We start from the raw sequence: 18857 nt of genomic DNA, 5'->3' as shown, positions 1-18857 counted from the left end.
TGGAATGGAGCTGAACTCCCGGGGGACCCTGATGGTTCACTTCCCTCTAGGGTTTGCTCCTGGCTCGCTGGGTTGTTATCCAAAGGAAGATCCTAGGAAGGAGAAAATTCCGCCTTGGCCTCTGAAGACTAATGAACCATATAGCTGAGGAGGGGGTTCTCGGGCCGGGCGTTGAGCTCGCTCTTCAGTGGGGCTTGCAGCATGCTTATAACCCCAGAGTCTCATGCTCTTCCTCATCCCCTCTACTCAGTGCCTCACTCCCCAGCCCTCCAGTCCGTAATTCCGGGGCCCACCTGCTGAGCCCCGTGGAGGCTTCACCCTGCAGGCCCAGAGCATGGTTTGCCGTCGCCTGAGTAAGCCCTGAACAGGCTCCTCCTCCTGGCCAGCAGCCCCGCCAGCATCCAGTGAGGCTGAAAGAACCCAGTCAGCCGAGGCCCCTCCAACTGCCCTCCCCTCCCACCGTGCGGCAGCATCCTCTGGGCAAACAGTGCCTTCTCGCCACACGAGCCCATCTGTCCTGGCTGCCAGGGCCGATTCATGTCAAGCTTGGGTGGATGAGCAGCACCCACAGGGCACGGGCCATGGCGGGCTCCCCAGCTCACCTTCGCACCACAACCTCGGTGTCGCCCAGAGAAGCTGCCCTGAGGCTCAGGAACCTGCCTGTCAGGCCAGGGTGGATGTACCATCCTGGATCTGCCAGGCCATGAGCTCACTGCCCCCAGCCACAGGGCCTGGCTCTGATCCAGGACTCGGCCTCCGCCCTCTCCCAGCGGTGCCCCAGCCCTGGCCCTGGGTGGGAGGCACCGTCTGTCATCAGAGCTCTACGCATCAGGATCATGGCCACCGGTGCTTTGTCCAGCCTCCTGGGGAGGTGGGGGGCAGGAAGCAACTCTCCTGGCACCCAGGTCCCCTTCCCACCCAATGAAACCAGGAAGTACATAGGAAAATACAGTCTTTATTGGTCTTCTGAAACAACAAACCAGAAATATAATTTTGCCTTTAAAAATCTTCTGTCTCAGGCTAAAGATACCACCATTGACAATGCCCTCCCCTCCCCCCAGTCCCTTTAGAAAATCCCCAGATCTGGTACCAGCCCACACGCCAAAAGAAGGAAGACTGTGGCCATGGCCAGGGCCGCCTGGGGTCCCAGTAAGCAGCCCATGCCAGGCGTCCTCTGTCCACCTGCCAGGACTGACCTCCTCAAAGGCACTCCTCCAGGCCCCCAGCCCACCTCACCCACCCACTGCCGCATGAGCAGGGAGGGTCGGAGTGGGGCACAGGAGCTAGGCCTGCCAACTCCCTCTGCTCAGACCCTTGGCTTCAGGGTTCTTGCTGGCCTCTTCCTGAGCCCCCATCGAGATTCCATCCCAGAGCCAGGGACGAGCCTGATGCCTCCTGAGCCTGTGAGCATGACACCTAGGTACCCACCATCTTCACACTCTGAGGAGGGGCAGAGCTAGGGAGGGGGACAGGTAACCTGGAAAACTTGCACTGCCTTGGCAGCAGGTGGCTCTGTCCCAGACAGGCTCCCCACCCACTCTCTGGTTTGGCCCCGGCTGGGTGCTCTAGGGAGCCACACTGAGCAGACAAAGCCCGGGAACAGAGGCCCCATCCTGGGAGCCTCTGGGCAGCACGTGGCCACCCGCTCCTGCTCCTGGGCTCTGTCTGCAATAAGCTGGCAGGCAATGAGCCTCAGGGGAGCCACCGTGTTCTCTGCCTGCCACCTGCTTTCCCCAGAGGGTGCCACCAATGGCAAAGCACCACCAAGTCCCAGCCCTGAAGTCACAGGCCAGGAGTACTGAAGATGGAGGGCGAGAGGCACAGAGTCACGGTGCCAGGCTGCAGGCTGTGGAGGAATCAGTGGGGGCCCCACAGGGCCTGGTGCTGTGAGATGCGTGGGCAGGACCGAGGCAACACCAGTGGTGTGTGGCTGGGTCCTCAGGAGGCCGCCATGCACACATGCAGCCGCTCCAGGCCCCTGGGTGGTATCCCGGGAAAGCCCAGCAGGAGAGGTGTGAGAGGGTTACCATGGTGACAGGAGGGCTCCTCCAGGGGCACCACTTTGGCCCACTTTAGAGGATCTCAAAGGATCCTGGTGTTACTGGTTGAGTTCCTTCCTGCTGTTGACTTGAGAAGATTGCAGTGAGCACGCGAGAGGCTCTGTGGTCTCAGGGAGACCCCTGGGGAAGAGCATGTCTCTGCTGTTCGAGCGCTCATAGCCTCGGTCTCCGTGTGACCGTGTGAGTGTGTGTGTGTGTGTGTGTGTATTAATTCTTTCAATCCATGTGACCGCACTGGTGATGCAATGGGTGTGTGAGTGAATTAGCGAATCCAGGAGCATGTGGTCAGTGTGGCCTATAGCAGATCCAGGGGCATGATGGCGTCGGCCAGGGGTGTATGGTGTTTCTGAGTGCTGGGTCCAGATGGCAGGGCTGGTGTGTTTGCACATTGGTACCAACAGTTGTAGAGCTGGACCAGCTTTCACACTGCAGGGGTGTTAAGAACGTCTTTCTGGCTTAGGAGAGAGTCTCAGAAATCTACCTTCATCCCTCAGATCCCTCCCTCCCCGTCCCCTCAATGCAGGTGAGGTGGGACCAGCAAGGTAGGAAGAGTCACCAGCTATGGCCACCCCAGGGCAGGAAGGGCGACAGGGGAATGCCCAGTCCGGAAGCCTCCTCTTGCACACACCTCCTTGCTTTGCTGTGGCCAGAGCTTAGGGAGATCCCCCACATGTTCCAAAGATTTACTGGCCCAGACAGGAGCATCAGCAGGAGCCCCCAGCACGGTGGCTTTCAGGGAGCCTCGAAAGTGCAGGGAGAGAACCCGGTGTGGCTTGTCTGCTGGAGGGCGGGGAGGAGGGTGGACTCGGGGAGGCAGTGGCCAGCGCCGGGTCAAGGTGGGAGCTGTGGCTGAGCAATGCCGTGTGCTCTCCCCGCCCTTCCTACCTGGCCGGGTGGGGATGGGCGCTCAGGCCACAGAAGAGATCTGCTTCTGGTCCTCGTGCTCGCCCTCGGGGTCCCCCATCAGGGGCTGGCGCTTTTTGAGCTCCCGGTGGTACTTGGCCATGAGGGAGGCGTAGATGCAGCCATAGGCAGCGGCCACCACCATCATGATGCAGACGACGCCGCACACGACCCCTGCAATGATCACCGTGCCCATGGCTCGCCTCACGCTCGCCGGCCGGTGCCTCTGCTTCTGTGGGCAGGCTGTGCTGGGCTCCGGCTCCGGCTCAGCCCCGGGCTTGGGCTTAGCAGGCTCTGGACTGGCCTTGGTGCAGGGTGGCCCAGGAATATCCAGCCCAGCTGAGCTATTCTCGTCCTCCAGCTGGGAGCAGTAGTTGAACATCTCCATGGGGACCATCCGCATGTCCTTCCCCCTCAGCTCCTTGGGCAGGGTGCAGGCAAGCTGGTCCAAGCGTCCCCCTACATGCAGAAGAGAAAAAGAGGGGCTGACCAGGCATCTAGAACTTGCACTCCCTCTCCCCATCCCCAGCTCCCCAAAACGGAAGCCCCAGAAGGTAGTTTTTATCAGCAATGTAGTCAATCCTGGAATCACCATCTATAGAAGAGGAAGCGGAGGAGGGAAAACAGCATTGATTGAGCCAAGTCCACAGTGAGTTACGTATATCGTGCCATTTCATCCTCGCAGAAGCCATGTGAAATGGATATTGTCTTTATTCCCATTTTATAGAGAAGCACGCAGCCACTTCCATCCGGCCTGTCCTCTCCCAGGCCAAACGGACCCACAGAGTAAGGCAGTGCTAACATGGGGAGGTTCCCAGGAAAGGGCTGTCATTAGAGAGCTGAGCGTCCCTGCCACACTCTCTGCCCCCGAATCTGCCTGCTCATCACCTGTCTGTGAGCCCAGGATACCGTTCTCAACACAGCATCTTATCCTTCTAGGGTTCTTACCTCTCACTCAAAGGACAGCAGTCAAAACCCACTGCCCCTGCCGCTGCCCCTCCACGCAAGACCTTTTGGTTGCCTAAGAATGGGCAGCTCCCTTCCTGGCGTAAAGAGGAAAAGAGTTGGGCAGGAATGTTCTCCTTCTCCTCCTTAGGAGCAATCCAATGGCCCCATCGGTGCCCCAACCACAGCCCTGTAAGTACAAAGGCATCTGGAGGGGGAATCCTGGAGGCACACGAGGCCAAGGAGAGGAGGCTGGTGTTGATGAGGAGGTGTGGGTACCTGGGCGCACGGGCTCGCCAGGATGTCTTCATGATGATGGTGGAGGCTGGCTTGGACAGAGGGAGACACAGATGCAGGACAGGGCTGGGGTGAGAGAGAAGGTGGTTGAGGACAATAATCTGTCTAGACCTCCCCTAGGAAGTGAAAGTTGGATTCTGGCCCTCTTTCAGCTTCCAGTGAAATCTGGATGCAGGCACTAGACCCCCTGCCGAAAAGATGCGGGCTGCAGCCACTCCGTCACTGGCAGCTCCCTCTGCAGCCCATCTGCCGCAAGTCTCCTCATACAATAGGCATCAATCTTTCCCTGGGATGCCGATGGAAATATTCCAGGATTTTGTTTTTAAGAAATGCAATGTTGAAAGCAACTCCGCTATTGAAAAAGTCTGAAAACTGCACATTCTCATGGCATGCATTTTTGTGCTGGGAATTCAGTTCCCGGCGACCACAGGAGAGGAGGGTCTGAAGACACCCGGCCTAGTTCCCCTGTGCGGCTGACACCTCGGTGGCCTGCAGCAAACCTCACATCCCAGGAACACGTATCAGTGCTGCCTGGGGATGCAAAGCTGGGTGCTGACAGGGATGCAGCCTCATTTCCCTGCTGGGAAGACCCACGGTTGAATCCTGGCTGTGTCATCTTGTGAAAATTATTTAATTTATTTAATTACTTATGAGTTTTAGTTTTCTTAGCTGTAAAATAAGAAGGTCTATCTCAATTAGCTGCTGTAAGGTTTAAAATCATGTACATGAAAAGACATTGGTAAACTGGAAACTATATAAGTAGTAATCATTATTTCCCCGCTCATGAAAATGGGGGAAATGATCATAGTGACTAACATTTTGTGGCACTTTATAGTTTGTAAAACATTTTTAATTAACTAACACAGGAGAATTTCATGGAAATAATTGAAATTGTGGCTGGAGATTAAATGAAAGTAGTAAGACTTTAACAAAAAGCATTGGCATTATTTTCACCACTTAAATGTTGATTCCTTAGCCCAGCAAACATTCATTGAGCATCTTCTTCGTGCCAAATGGTGTTTCAAGTCCACTTAGTATTTGATTATTACCAGGAAGTGAACGGATAAATGGACGTTTTATTGAGGACTCACTTTGTGCTGGGCACCTCTCAAGCCACGTTCCGTGCATTGCCACATTTAATTCTCATAATGACCCTACGAAATAGATATTGTTTCCTTCCCACTTTACAGACCAGGCCCTGCCACAGCGAAAGGGTAACCAGCTTTCTCAAGATCACACAGCTGGCAGGTGGCAGAGCCGAAATTCAGACGCAGACCTGGCCCTCCTCACCACCATCTTGCGCACCCTCCTCTCCCATGTCATGTGATCATGTCATAGGTCATTACAGCACTTTCCCATATTAAAGAAAATGGGAAGGGAAGAAAGTAAAGCCTAACCCATTTGACTTCTTCTTAAAGTTTGGATAATAAAACTTGGGAGAGGAAGTTGGCACTGTCACCAAAAGGAAGATTTGGTTTTACTGAGGATTCATTCTATTCCCCTCTCATGTAAGGGGAGATGTTTAAGAGATGGCTGTATTCTTCAGAAGAGCTGTTTTTCTCCCTCCTTCTACCACACTGGGGAAGCCCACAGGCAAACTTGGCGGGATACAAAGCCCAGGTGTCTTTACTGCCCTTATGTAACCTAAGAAAGGGAGATCCAGTTCAGTGAGTCCTAGGAGAAAGTGGGGAGCTGGCTGGGGGAGGGGATGCAGAGCAGGGAGGGGAGGGTGGGGGTGGAGGGAGCAGCACCAGCCTCTCTCCCATTGGCAGGAAGGGTGATGGCTCATGTGAGGGGAGGCTTGTGACTTTTCTAGCCGAGCTGGCACAGAGGCAGGGTCGCCCCCTTCTTTCCCCTGGCCTGCTCTCTGAGTCAGCACCCAGCCACCAGGAGGAAAGTGTGGGGCCAGAGGTGATCGTCCCAATCCCTCGGGCCCCAGCAGGGCCGGCTGCGCTCACCTCGGTAGGAGAACCACTCCATCCAGTGTTTGAACTCACGCAGGTTACAGTCACACTCCCAGGGGTTATCCCCGACCTGCAGCAGCTGCAGGTTTGCTAGGGGTTCAAATGTCAGCCGGTCCAGATTCTGCAGACGGTTGGAGCGAAGCGAGAGGGAGCGCAGAGCCAGGAGCCCGTCGAAAAGACCAGGGGGCAACTGGGCCAGGCCGTTGATGGACAGGTCCAGGTGGCGGAGCAGCGGCGAGTGCCGCAGCAGGTCCCTGTCCAGGGTCCTGATGCTGTTATTGCGCAGCTGAAGCTCAGTCAGATTCGTCAGGTCCCCGAAAATGGAGCGGGGCAGCCGGTCCAGGAAGTTGTTGGACAGGTCCAACCGCTGCAGGCTGGAGAGGTTGGCGAAAGCCCAGCTTGGCAGGGCACTCAGCTTATTGTTCAAGAGCAAGAGGGTTCGGGTGGCTGCGGGCACGTCTGGGGGCACCGTGGTGAGGCCAAGGCCACTGCAGTCCACCTCCAGGCTGCGGCTGTCACACTTGCAGGAGAAAGGGCAGGTGGGGAGGGCCTCCACAGCATACAGGGCGATCCAGCAGGTGATCCCTTGGTGGGAGGGACAGACGGGGGAAAGAAAGCAATAGGACGGGTCACCACCTCCTGCTTCTCTTCCCTCCTTTCTAGCTCATAACAGGCTCTTGGCTTTATCTCCTTTGGCACAAGCCACAATCAATGCATAAACGTTTATTAACCACATAAAAGCATAATTAACAAATCCAAAGCCACTTCCATATTAATGGACATCACACAGTGTCTGCAGGGCGCCCTGCCTTGCCACACATCTGGCAGAGGAATCACTTGAGTGGAGAATGACCCTGCAGACTCAGCCAGAGCCCAGAGACAAGCCATGCTGGTGCAGTGATAGGAAGCTCACAGGGCCTCCCACAGTCATCTCCCGGGGAGTTTGGGTCCCACTGACACCATGGATGTTGACACAAGAAAGGAGATAAGGTTGTCAGAGAAACCTGCTCCCATGCCCTCTCCCAGTGTCACTGCTGGGACAGAGTTTGTTTCCCAGGGAAAATGGCCAGGCTGCTGGCTCCCTCCCCTCTGTGGCCCACCCCAACTCTGGAGCTGTGTATGGAAAGGCGAGAGCACAAAACAGCACTCCTAGCCCTGTCCTTCACGGCGTCCCAAGTGCTGTTATGTTTCCATCAATCCCACACCCATGATGACGCCAGCAGTTTGGCATGAGGATTTAGAGCCCAGGCTGTGCACCTAGGGTCCCACTGTGGGAGTGACAGGCTAAGATGTACAAACCCACTTCAACATTGACAAGTCATGGGGCCCAGGACACATTCCACTTTAACCCCCACCCTAAAGCCATCTAGGCTCTCAGCCTGGGCTTCTGTTCCTAGGGGCTACAGGGCAGCATTCCTGCACAATGGCCCGATGAATAGAATTCGTTTCCTGGTCCCATCTTTTGCCCAAGACCCTTCTGCGTAGCGAGCATGGGGTCCTGTCTGTAGGGCTGGGAGAAGTAACCCTCAGGGAACAATCACATCAGAGCAGTGCCTTCCATTATGCAGCAGCCCTTTCCAATAGTGGCCTCAAAAACCCCTAAGTGTCCTCCTGAGTAGCAGAGAAGCCTGCTCATCGTGAAAGAGAACTGGGAAGAATTCAAAATAGTTCAGCCCCACCAGGTCAGCCCAGCCGAGGTCAGTTCCACCCAGCCTAGAGAAAAGACCCCAGCCAGAGAACTGATGGAGAAGTTCAGACCCAGCTCACAGCCCATCGGCCCACCCTGACATGGGACCTGGGACCTGGCTGTCCCAGGTCGGGGTGGGCCGATGGGCTGTGAGCTGGGTCTGAACAGCCTTGAGTCTTGTCCAGTAGGGGTCTGGGTGTCTGCTGTCCCAAAGGGTGGAGCTTGAAGGAACAGGATGAGACTCTCCCCTTCCCTGCCTGGAGGATCGATGACAGCTGAGAGCTGACACGTGGCTAGATCTGGCCCAGGCCTCCCTGCAGCCTAACAGCAAGCCTCACTGTTCTTGGCGAGAAGTGAGCACAGGTACAGCCATGGAAGCCACCGGAGACCCTTTTTCTGGCCATCTTGGGTTACCTCATGTCTCCGCTCACCCTCTCACCCCTCTGAGCCCGTCTGCTACCAGATCAGCCAGCCCCATACCACCACCCCAAGCCATTTGAAAATCAGCATTCTTCAGACTTGACTTTCCCCAGGAAATAAAATCCAACGCATTCAGCTCCCTCTCAAAAGGATCTGCATCACCAGAAGCCGCTCGCCCCTCCCAGAGAAGGGCCTGACAGCAGGCTAAGAGAGCCGCTGCGGAAGAGCGACTCCCTGCGCCCCCCACCTCCCTGGAGATCAAGGTGGCATAAAAGCTCCAGTGACAAGAAAACATAAGCCCGTATTGCGAGGTGTTGAGTGATTCTAGAATGAGGCTGAAAGGAGATCTGAGTCACTCAGGGGCCAGCCTCTCTCACATGGTGAATAATTCAGGCTGCCCGTGTTGGGTGCTGGATCAGAGCGGGAAGTCAGGCGGAATGCCGTCCCGCGGGACCGTTTCCTCCCTGCCACCGTGTAGCCTTGGGCAGACCAGCCCTTGCTGACCTGGTCCCTTTGCCACATATAAAGAGAATTCTCAGGGCTCCTTTCACCCTGACAGCTGCCAAGTGTTGCCTTCATTCACGCTTCCTCCCCTTTTTGGTAAATGGACGGCTCAGTCTGCCTATATGCAGGAGGGGTTGGACCCACTCCCCAAAGTCTCTTCCAGCGCCGCATCCCACGAGCCCACTAGGTCCTCTACCGAGAGTTGGGAAAGCGGAGGCATAAGGAGCATAAGAGACATCTCCAAGCTGACCCAGCTCCTGGCCGAGGCCAGCCAAGGGGGCAGTTCCCCACGGGAGCAAAAGGGCTCGCCGCAGTCTGTGACACAGGCCGACAAGCTCAGGCACCAGTGAGGCTGTTTAAGACTCAGCAGGCCTGCATTCCAGCAGAGCTCTTCTCCTGTTGGGGACCCCAGCAAGCTCACAGAGACTTACCTGGGGGAGGTAGAACAACTGTCGTGGCCTCCAGCTCCAGGTCTAACCACTCAGCACTCAGCGGTGACTCTGACTGGCAGGGATGCTGTCACCGTGGGCGTGACCCTGGCTTCCCAGAACATAGCCTCGGGTACCCCAGGAAGATCTGGCGTAGGCCTCCCTGCAGCCTGAGTGTGGCTAAGGTCCCATATGGCGCTACCTACAGTCACCTCGGCACCCCCACCCAACCCGCACCCCCCTCCGAGGCCAGGGGTGTACTCACAGGAGACTTGCCTCCACTGCAGGGCGAGCCTGCCCCTCTGCCCAGGGCTGCTGCCCGGCGCCAGCATGGTGAGGCCCACGGCTCTCCGGGCCCTGTCGCTCTGGGGAGAGAGGAGCCCCTGGGTGCGCCGCCTGTCAGTCCTGAGGGAGGGAGGAGCACTGAGCACAGGCAGGCGCGGGAGCCCCGTTCCAGCCCAGGGGTTAGGGAGAGGGCCCGGGTGTCTCTTTACACTCCTCATGCCCTCTCCTGTTCCTCTCAGTTATGATTCCCTGGGTGGGGGAAGAAGAGGAGCCAGGAAGCCTTCAAGCCCCTGGGATGGGGGCGGGGCAGGCTTCGGCTTTCCAGGAGCCCGAGGGTCGGGCACAGTGCCGCAAAGCTGGGGGTGCACCCATGGGCCTACCCAGCCTCATCTGCCTTCTTGTTGCCTCCCGAGTATGTTGATCACTCAGATGTTTTCATGGCAACCTGGTCTCCCATCTGGGCATTCCTTGAGTTATGGGTGGAGAAACTGAGGTCATCTCTCCGAGGTGAGCAGAGTGAGGTCACAGGCCACAACTGTCACCTGTCCCTGGAGGCTCCCCTCACCTGGGTCCCGGTTCCTCTAGCCCCGCCACAGCTCACCATGGCCCGAGGGAGGCAGGGGCCAGGCCCTTGGCAGCTGCAGCCGCGTAGGGTGTGAGCCGCTGGATGGCCTGCTGCTTCCCCCTGCACCACCGACGCCCACGCAGAGGTGAATAGCAGCACTCTGTCTTCCGCCAGCCGGGCTATAATAAGACTCATCAGCTCAGGGGTTCATGCTGCGGCAGCTGCTAGGAAGAGACAGGGACACAAGGAGAGGTGAGAACGCAGAGTAGGGGCGCTGAGGCAGCCAGGGCGCAGGAGCAGGCTTCCTTCGCGGGGGACAAGGGGGCACTTACCCTTTCTAGGGTCTGCCCCCCCCAGTGTCTCCCAACTGGGACACAGGCTGTGTGCTGGGGTCTCCACTTCCTTCCAGATGGGAGGCCCAGGCTGCCAGCCCATCAGAGAGGGGGACAGGGGACTGGCATGTGTTTACCTGCTGCAGCTGGCAAGGGCGGGGATGGGCAGGGAGGGAGGGAGGATGCCCGCACCCCTCTCCTTCGCCCTCCACGGGCTCCCTGCGTCAGCCCACTGCTCCAGGCGGCTCCCAGCCTCTGACCTTCCTTGGTTGCCAGATTTGTCCCTGGGTAATTCCTGGTTGCAGCCTCCCTCTCCCTGCCCCCATGGGCCTATGGAATTCTGGGAGCCCAGGAGACAATATCAGAGTGAAAAAGACAGGCCCAGAGGTGGATGGAGCTGCCGAGAAGCTTCAGTGCTGAGCCCAGAATCTTGGCCTGTCTGTGCAGGTTTCCCCTCGGGCATTAGGGTCCTGCTGCAAACCCTGTTGCCCCCATCTTCTCCCCTCTGGTCCCCTCGGCCCCTCCCTCCTTGGGTGCTCCTCAGGCGGCCACAGCAGTGCTCAGTTAGAACAGGACAGTCGGCTCTGCCCCCGGCAAGGGCAGCCTGCTGAGGAGCGGAGTGCCGCCCTCTCGGCTGTCTTTCCTCCCCTTCCCCCACGCAGCGAGGGTGCCAGTCTGCCGAAGGCCCCGCAGGCGTTGGCAGAGGGGTCACAAGACTGGGCACAGATGTGGGATTGCAGGCAGCCCAGGTGCCCATGCAGCCTTCAGGAGGACCCACGTCCCTGGCATGAGGGGTGGAGGAGCCCCTGAGCGTGGTGCTGTCATGGTTCTCTAACCACTGTCTCAAGGCCAGGCTCCAGTGGGCTCCTGGTGCCAGTTGGCGGGGGGGGGGGGGGGGCTCTGGGTTCAAATCTCTGGTCCGTTCTTTAAACAAACTGCTTAAAGCCTCTGGGCCTCAGCTTCTTTCTGTCTAGAAATGGTGACCGCAATACCTGCTTGGTGGAGTTTCTATGAGGATCAATCTAGTGAAGGGAAGAGAGTTGACACACCCAGTGCCCATCACCATGGAAATTCAGGCAGAGGCTCCTGCTCCTAGCTCGGACTTGAGCCCAGTACAGGCGTGAGGGAGCAGCAGTTCCTCCCTCCAGAGGAGAGGGGTGTCAGCAGCAGGTCTATTGTGACGGCTTTCTTTCCCGATCCCACCAACCTCCCCTGTGAGGTTGTTTCTCATTCCTGAGCACCCCGGGCCTGTGGAGTCTATGTATTTCTGCCCCACACCTACGGCCCTCGCAGGCCTGCCTTCAAACAGCAGCGTGCACGCTCTCTGTCCCTCGAGCCCTGACCTTCAGCACAATCTCTCTTACTCAGTCAAGAATGTCCATATCAAGAGCTCACAGTCCACGGCCACCCAAGGCAGAGATGTTGATCACTTGTCCAAGGTCACATGGTAAGTCCGGGACTGGATTGCAGGTTTCAGAGCCAGGCTGCAGGCTGCTCATCACTCCCTGGCGACTGTCACCCAGCAGTGGCCCTTTCAGGGAGATACTTACGTGTGCACAGAGCAGGGCACACACACAGGCCTCCCAGACCTGTGCTTGGAGCTCTGTACACAGCACGTGATGCAAACACACACCCACAGAGAGCTGTGCAGCTAGGTATGTGCTAACATACATGTGCCCACATGCTTGCACACATGCACACACGCACCTGGCTGGCAGCACTCCAGCACTTCTCAAATGCCAACACTCAGGCAGCTGAGTGAGATGCCTCTAAGTTCCCAAATGCCCCCAACAGACAGATGTGTAAGCCGCCTCCAGCCTGGAACTAAGGTCTAGAGAGAACCCCTGCAGAGCAGTCCCTAACCCATAAGACACCTCCTCTGCCCAGGGCCCATGTTGAGGCCGGATTCCCCATCCAGGTGTCTGCTCCCACTCCTTCTGGCTTGCCGCAGGCAGATAGGTAGTGGAGAAGCCCTCCCACCCAAGCTCAGGCCAGTTTCCACCTAAGGCTTCTGCCTCCCCTGGATAGGCTCCTCTTTTGCATCCCACCTCACCCTCTCCCATCCCTCAGTGTCTCCCACACTGTGAGCCCAGGAGTTAACCAGCAAACAGGCTGGTGAAGGCGGCCTCTTGTGCAGGTCTGGAGGTCCCATCTTCAGCCTCGAATGGGATGTCACCTGCACAAGTCCGGCAAGTCCCCACAATGCAGACCCACAGGTGTTGTCTTGCAAGGTGGCAGGACACTGTTGATCCTGGTATTGTTTAGAGAAATGTGATGAAAACAAGGCCCCCAGGTTCATGCGGATATGCCCTGTGCTCTCTTAGCAGCTAATCCTGCCTCCCTGGGTCCCTTGGGCTTCCTCCTGGACACCAGGGCCTTCCCAAGAGCAGGAAAAATAGCGCAGCTTGCAGGGAACACCAGTCATATGTGTGTGGCACCACAGAGGGACTCCTAGAGAGAGGTGGGGCTGCAGCCAGCACTCCCTAGTTCCTTAGCCTCTGCCTACCAACACGCCTCCATCCAAAGGACCCTTCCCACCCCCAGAAGAGTGGAGCCTCCTTAAGGAAAGGGGGTGACCTACATTGGGAAGCTTGGAGAGCAGCTGCCGCAGCAGGCACTGACAGCTGCTGAAATGAATTCACAGTCTGGGAGGGAAGTCCCTACCCAGGGTGCAGCATGGGGGACAGCGAGATCTCCTGTCTGCAAGTCCCATGGCCTCATCCACTCTGGATGCTGGGCCTGCTCCTAACCCAGTCCTAGAGACAGGGAGGCCAAAGATAAGGGGCCAGGCCTCCACGGAGTCCCTGGCCTCCCTTCCAGAGAGAGCCAGGATTGGAGAATGGGGCTGAAGAGCTCAAAGCAGTCAAATGAGGAACTCTGGAGGGCCAGAAACATGGGGCTTTGAGTGTAGACCATTGCAACTCAAAGTGTGGTCCATGGACCAGCGGCATTGGTCTAGCTTGGGAGCCTTGTAGGAAGGTAGTCTCAGGGCCCATCCAGAATGACTGAGTCAGAATCCGCATTTTAACAAGATCCCCAGGGGATTTTCATGCATATTTGAGTTTGATACGACTAGGCCGGGCACCTCTCAGCAGGGCAAACGGCCACCGAGGAGACCATGCTGGCCTGTCCCTGAGCCTCCAGGACCCACTGAGAAGCTAACTGGGACCTGGGGAGAAAAAAATTACCACAGTCACAAACCTGTGTAGTTTTCTGAATCCTTGTAACAACTCTCTGAGGTTAGTGTTCTTGTTACTATCATTTTGCAGATGGGGGAAACTGAGGCACCAGAAATGAAATAACTCACCTAAAGTTAGGCAAATGGAATCATATGGCTCTGAGCCCGAGCTCTCTGGCTCCTAACTCAGTTGTCTGTCTGCTTACACGTGGGGGTTACTTGTACAGGAAAGGCAGAGGTAGGAAAGGAAGATGCCGCCTTTCCTCTGAATGGTCCTCTGCAGTGTCCACGGCATTGCCTGATCCACTCCCGCTGGAGCTGAGAAGGCAGCTGTTTTTGTCCCCATTGCCCTGATGAAGGAACAGGCTTTGTGACTTGCTGGACTGAGATGCAAGCAAGACAGGTTCTCCTCTTCCCAGCCTCTCTTCTTGAAGTCCTGGGAGGCCAAGATCTTACGGAAGGTGGGGGGCTTTCTAGAAACCTTTCTGGCTGGGGGTTGTGTGCTGAGGTGAGGGGAGTAGGCCGGAGCTCTGTTCTGGGGGAGCCAAGGCTGGGGAGGCCATGGGGGAGCAGGAGGCCCCAGTAGGAGCAGGGGGTTCCACATGCGGAGCTGAGTGGGCTGTAGCCACCCCAGGAGACTGGGAGTGGGAGCTGCCTCCCTGCTAGCACCCCACTCGGCCCCCTCAGAGCACGGAACAGCCGCACGCACTCACTCACTGCAGAGAGCTAGGTTGGGACGGCAGGAGCCTGGACCGCTCCATGCACCTGCCCCTTCCATTTCTCCTCAGATGGAGGTTAATTAATCAGTCTCAGACTCTAGCTAGAAACCTCCAGCACACTCACCACAGACCTGGTGTCCGCACCCTTCCTCTCAGGCTTCTGCGCATGTCTATCCCTCCACATCAAGCATCCAAGACACACAGCCAGATAATGCCCATCGGGCCTCCACCTCTGAATTCCTGACTCCTGGGCCATCACACTAGCCCTAGGGTGTGCCCACTCCCCTGGCATCTCCCCTTGGTCAAGAGTCCATACCCCTCAGCATGGAAGAGTCACAGAACTCAGGGGTAAAGGGGGCATTTGCAGCCTACTCTGCCGCCCCCTTCACTCTGCAGAAGGCCAGAGAGAAGCAGAGCCACGACTGGGCCCACACCCTGGGCCTGCAGGGGCCGTGCCCTTCCACCAACCCCAGGAAGGCTGAGAGGGAGCCCGGAGAGTGGCCAGCCAGAGCCCCGGGCCAAAGACGGCCCGAGATTCCATGTGGCCAGGACGCAGGGGAGGCTGCCACAGCCGTCTAGGCTGGGCTCCGCCTACCGCTGCCTGTCTGGGCACCCAGGCCCTCTAGGACAGCTGCCCATCACCCCCATCACACACACTGCCCAGGCAGCAAGGAACCAGGTTTTAAAAATCTCTATATTTGTACTTGGAACAGCCATATACCCTCCTGGTTCATTTTAAAACACATGCCCCATCCTCACCCCCAGCCTCCTGCACCCCCGTTTCCTTGTCAAATATTCTCAATCTCAAACAGACCCTCTGGGAAGCAGAACAGAGAAGCCTCCTGAGTGGCCCCTCATGGGAGCTGGTCCCTGACATGAAGGAGGCTAAGGTGTCCACTGGGCCCTGGGGCCGGGCTCAGGGTGGTGTCCCTGGGGCTGGGCTCAGGGTGGTATTCCCAGGCAGGGCACAGGAGGCTTGGCTGGGGGAAAAAGGAGGAAGACCAGAGGGGCAGACAGCCTCTATGCTGGCTCCTTTCTCCTCTGCCCACCCCCAGAACTCCCAGACACCCCCAACCATCACATACATGCCATCCCCTCCTCCTTCCTACACTGCCCACTGAGGCCATAGCAGCCCAGAGGCGGCCCCTGGGCTCTGGTGCCTGGGAAACGGGAGCAGAGTTTGCTCCTCGTGGGCCCAGACAAGCTTCTGTCAAACCCCAAAGACACCAGATCGGCTGCTTAAGCAGCCTCTCTCCTTACCCCTCCCCGCGGGCCTGGCTTTCCTGGTCTCCCTCTTTTGGCAGTGCTGAGACTTTCTTTCTGCCGGTGGGGAGGTGGGGGTGGGAAAAGCTGGGCTCTTCTTGGCAGCTCGGAAGCTGCTGTCGGGTTTCCCTACCAGCTGGACTTCCCCCGCCTCAGCTCCACGTGCTCGGCTCCCTCCCCGCCCCCACCTGAGGCAGTTATCTAAGCTGCAGGGGTGTCATCTGAGTCACAAAGAGACACTGCCCAAGTAGCCCTGACAGCCGGGTGCCAACACCCCCCAGAAATGTGGACAGCTTGGGGGTGGGGGAGAGACAGGGCCGCCAACTGGAACCCAGCCCCAGACCTGCAGGGAGGTGCAGGAATGTGAACTTCCGACTCCTGGTCAGGCTGCTCCTCTCTCCAGCACTGTCCAAATGGGTCTGGGGGATTGAGAGCAACTGTCCCGCTCTACTCAGGGTGTCCATGCCCCCTGTGTGGGTCAAGAAGCCAGGCAGGCCTGGCCCCGCTGTGTACCCCCCACCCAAGCTCAGTGTCCAGCCCCCACTAAGGCTCCCTGACCCATTTGCAGATGGACGGCTGGGTGCACAGCTGCGGGACACCCCAGCAGGTTCTCGCGGGCCTGGTTCTCCTGTCTTGCCCTTGGGCTAGCAGGGAAGGGCTGCGATACTTCTCTCTCCTGCCCACTCCCAGCCTCACCCTCACCAGGGAGGCTTCATGCACAGCTGAGTGGGCCCATGCTCATCTGGGGGAGGGTTCCTCCACACCCTTGTCCAAGGACAGCCACCTGCAGGCAAGCTATAGGGAGGCCCAGGACCTGGGTCTGTGCCCATGCCTCTGACATCCAGGACCTCCTCCCTGCCACCCTCCACCCCAAGCCTTCCTCTGACCTGGCCCTGTCCCCAGCACCTGACTGCCATCCCAACCGCTTCCCATGACCCCCGAGTTTCTTGGGGCTGTCTGTGCAGAGCCGGGCACAACGACAGCACAAGGCTCTTGGCTGCTTCTCCCATGCTGCAGGGACCGGTTTCTATGCCACCCGGGACTGTCATCTGGCGCCAGCGCTGCCCTCCTCCCCACTTCCCAGCAGAATCCACAGCTCTTGTCCCCAGCACTGTGGGCTCAGAGTTCCCAGTGTCGTGCACCTTTGGGATGCTCAGGTGCCTGAGCCCGAGCAGCTTCTTCGGCCCCAGCAATTGCCTGCAGGTAGGAAGCAACTGCAGCTATTCCTGCAGGGCAGAGATGGCCGGTGCCCACTTCCCATGCCCCGACCACCCCCTGTCCCCACCAACCCTCCATTCCTTCCTACCAGCCACTCGGTACTCACCCGTCTTTACTCTGACTGCAAACGCCTTCAATCAGGTGGCTCTCAACCCTCCAGTAAGACCCTCCTGGGATTCCTATAGAAATCCAGACACCACCGGCAGGCAGAGCGCAGTGGGCACTGGTGCCAGAGTCTCCACTCAGCGGGAGCAGCGGCTGGCACGCAGCACACAGCACCAGGAGGTGGACTGCTTGTGGCAGACGGGGGACGGGGCTGCTGGGTCAGTCACAAACTGAGAAGGAAAGAGAGGGATGGAGGGAGAGAGAGAGAGGAGAGAGGGAAGAAAGGGGCGAGGGAGGAGAGCGCACGCGTGTGCGCGAGCAGCGAGCCAGAGTGGAGCGGGGAGTGACAGCTGGGGTGCATCTGTGATGACAGCGGCAGCAGCACACACAGGCGCACACCAGAGGCACCACGGCCGGCCGCGAGGGCAGCGCTCACCCTGGCCACGCTCACATTTCAGTGGAAAAAGGCGCCTGTGGATGAATCGCTGCCGACCACAGGGAGGAGGAAAGCGGTTTCACCACCACCTCCATCTTCCATCCTGCGCCTCCAGGCTCTCCCTCACCCCCCCGGCTGCACCTGTCTTCTGTGCCTCTCTCCTCTCTTCCCCTCCATCTGGGGAAAGAGGGACAGGCGCAGACACAGAGCAAGCGGCTGACTTCTGTTCCGATGGAGGCCCCCCTGGGAAGCTGGTCTTTCTCCTGTTTTAGAGACATGCGAGGCAGAGTCTCCCATCCTGCCTGAGAGAAGGAAAAACCGAACCCTTCTCTCGGTCATACGAAAGAAGGGTACACAGGCATGTCCATGTGCCAGATGACCCTACAGGAAAGGGCCCTGAGCCCCCACAAAGCCAGGGATCACATGGTCATGCAGAGGTCACTGAGCCTCAGGGTCTGACCACCCGACGCCAGGACTACTTAGGGAAGCAGAATGCCAGAGTTGGCAGGCTGGGAGTTTGGGCACAGGGCAGCCTGCAGCAGCAGCCTGCAGACCGTTCTCAGTGCCAGGGACGAGCTTGGCTTCTCAGGGCTCCTTGCTCTTATCTGTGATGGGTCAGGCATGCGAAGGGAAGAGACTGTCATTCAAGAACTTGGAGGCCTCTTTCTTAACCAATCAGGACAAAGCAAGTCAGAAAAATTGATATCCTAAGAGATGGGAAGTGGCTGATCTGAAGGCCAAGTGAGTCAGGGACCAAGCTAGAGGGGAGCCAGGGCCCCACCAGCCTGGAGCACGAACCCTAAATCCCCCTTCCTTTGCGTCCACTGCCTGTAGACAGATGAAGCACCGTGCTAGCGATATATCACCGTGTCCTATGTCCCTCTTCCATTTTGCCTGCTTTGCTGGAGGGGTTCACAGCCAGGACTGGGGTGGGTGTAGAAGAACCCCCTGGACTCAGGATGCCCCTAGAAGGATGCTCCTGCTCACTCCCTTCTGTCCGTTCTGCCGGGTCCCCGGGCAGCACAAGGCTTGAGCTGCAGTGTCTTTTACCTCTGGGGAGTCCCGCCTCTGACCTCTCATGCTGGTGCCTCCCACACATCCCACTGTCAAGCAAAAGAGGCTCCCACCTCCCCATAAACATACTTCCTGCTTCTCCATCTCCATGAAAGCGTGTTCTTCCCTGGGCCTGAAATGCTCTCCTGCCCATGGGTGGCTTCCCCCTTCCTTAAACGCCCCCTGCAAGGTGACGTTTCCCCGGAACACCACAGGACTGGCCCTGCTCCTCCTCCGATCTCTGGCATTCTCTTTGGGCCACCCTCATGTTGTGCAGGAGCTTTCTGTGGTCTGCTTCATCTCCTTTCCTTTTTTTTTTTTTTTTAATTTTTTTAGTATTTATTGATCATTCTTGGGTGTTTCTCGGAGAGGGGGATTTGGCAGGGTCATAGGACAATAGTGGAGGGAAGGTCAGCAGATAAACATGTGAACAAAGGTCTCTGGTTTTCCTAGGCAGAGGGCCCTGCCGCCTTCCGCAGTGTTTGTGTCCCTGGG

At 57.9% G+C, this 18857-nt stretch overlaps 2 protein-coding genes across 8 annotated transcripts in view, besides 5 other annotated features; one reads left to right on the top strand and one right to left on the bottom strand.

Moving 5' to 3' along the window:
• Nucleotides 1-18857, top strand: part of CACNA2D4 (calcium voltage-gated channel auxiliary subunit alpha2delta 4) — a 126690-nt gene that overhangs the window by 80964 nt on the left and 26869 nt on the right. The window lies entirely within an intron of this gene.
• On the bottom strand, nt 936-17124 carry LRTM2 (leucine rich repeat transmembrane protein 2). 5 transcript variants are annotated; one of them, NM_001163926.2, is made up of 5 exons: nt 16875-17124; nt 10095-10282; nt 9474-9613; nt 6164-6754; nt 936-3422 (listed from the first exon to the last, which is right to left on the bottom strand). In NM_001163926.2, the coding sequence occupies exons 3-5, from the start codon at nt 9538-9540 to the stop codon at nt 2968-2970; spliced, it is 1113 nt and encodes a 370-aa protein (NP_001157398.1). In that variant the 5' UTR covers nt 9541-9613; nt 10095-10282; nt 16875-17124; the 3' UTR covers nt 936-2967. The 5 variants fall into 5 exon arrangements, with proteins under 5 accessions (NP_001157398.1, XP_011519317.1, NP_001157397.1 ...); XM_011521015.2 differs by having other exon boundaries at nt 9874-10279; NM_001163925.2 differs by having other exon boundaries at nt 10059-10279.
• Nucleotides 1745-2245: an enhancer, noted in NCBI's record as "H3K4me1 hESC enhancer chr12:1944610-1945110 (GRCh37/hg19 assembly coordinates)". NCBI's record gives its function as "activates a minimal SCP1, AML or CMV promoter by ChIP-STARR-seq in naive H9 embryonic stem cells {active_cell/tissue: H9 hESC(naive)}" and the evidence as "EXISTENCE:reporter gene assay evidence [ECO:0000049][PMID:30033119]".
• Nucleotides 6515-7128: an enhancer, noted in NCBI's record as "H3K4me1 hESC enhancer chr12:1939727-1940340 (GRCh37/hg19 assembly coordinates)". NCBI's record gives its function as "activates a minimal SCP1, AML or CMV promoter by ChIP-STARR-seq in naive H9 embryonic stem cells {active_cell/tissue: H9 hESC(naive)}" and the evidence as "EXISTENCE:reporter gene assay evidence [ECO:0000049][PMID:30033119]".
• Nucleotides 8991-9530: an enhancer, noted in NCBI's record as "H3K4me1 hESC enhancer chr12:1937325-1937864 (GRCh37/hg19 assembly coordinates)". NCBI's record gives its function as "activates a minimal SCP1, AML or CMV promoter by ChIP-STARR-seq in naive H9 embryonic stem cells {active_cell/tissue: H9 hESC(naive)}" and the evidence as "EXISTENCE:reporter gene assay evidence [ECO:0000049][PMID:30033119]".
• Nucleotides 11692-11986: a silencer, noted in NCBI's record as "tiled region #2999; K562 Repressive non-DNase unmatched - State 21:Repr". NCBI's record gives its function as "represses a minimal TATA promoter and a strong SV40 promoter by Sharpr-MPRA in K562 cells {active_cell/tissue: K562}" and the evidence as "EXISTENCE:reporter gene assay evidence [ECO:0000049][PMID:27701403]".
• Nucleotides 16808-17554: an enhancer, noted in NCBI's record as "H3K4me1 hESC enhancer chr12:1929301-1930047 (GRCh37/hg19 assembly coordinates)". NCBI's record gives its function as "activates a minimal SCP1, AML or CMV promoter by ChIP-STARR-seq in naive H9 embryonic stem cells {active_cell/tissue: H9 hESC(naive)}" and the evidence as "EXISTENCE:reporter gene assay evidence [ECO:0000049][PMID:30033119]".

The sequence above is a fragment of the Homo sapiens genome, chromosome 12, assembly GCF_000001405.40.
Source record: "Homo sapiens chromosome 12, GRCh38.p14 Primary Assembly".
NCBI lineage: Eukaryota > Metazoa > Chordata > Mammalia > Primates > Hominidae > Homo > Homo sapiens.
The sequence above is the reverse complement of the archived record's forward strand: the minus strand, read 5'-3'. Positions and strand labels throughout refer to the sequence as shown.

What these genes read in the sequence shown, in the direction of transcription:
- LRTM2 (XM_047429421.1), bottom strand. Translation starts at nt 9,711, where the DNA reads ATGAGGAGTGTAAAGAGACACCCGGGCCCTCTCCCTAACCCCTGGGCT. An exon ending in GCAGTGGAGGCAAGTCTCCT is followed by an intron (nt 6,755 to 9,473) that starts GTGAGTACACCC and finishes CCTCCCACCAAG; the next exon opens with GGATCACCTGCTGGATCGCC. An exon ending in GGAGTGGTTCTCCTACCGAG is followed by an intron (nt 3,423 to 6,163) that starts GTGAGCGCAGCC and finishes TTCTGCATGTAG; the next exon opens with GGGGACGCTTGGACCAGCTT.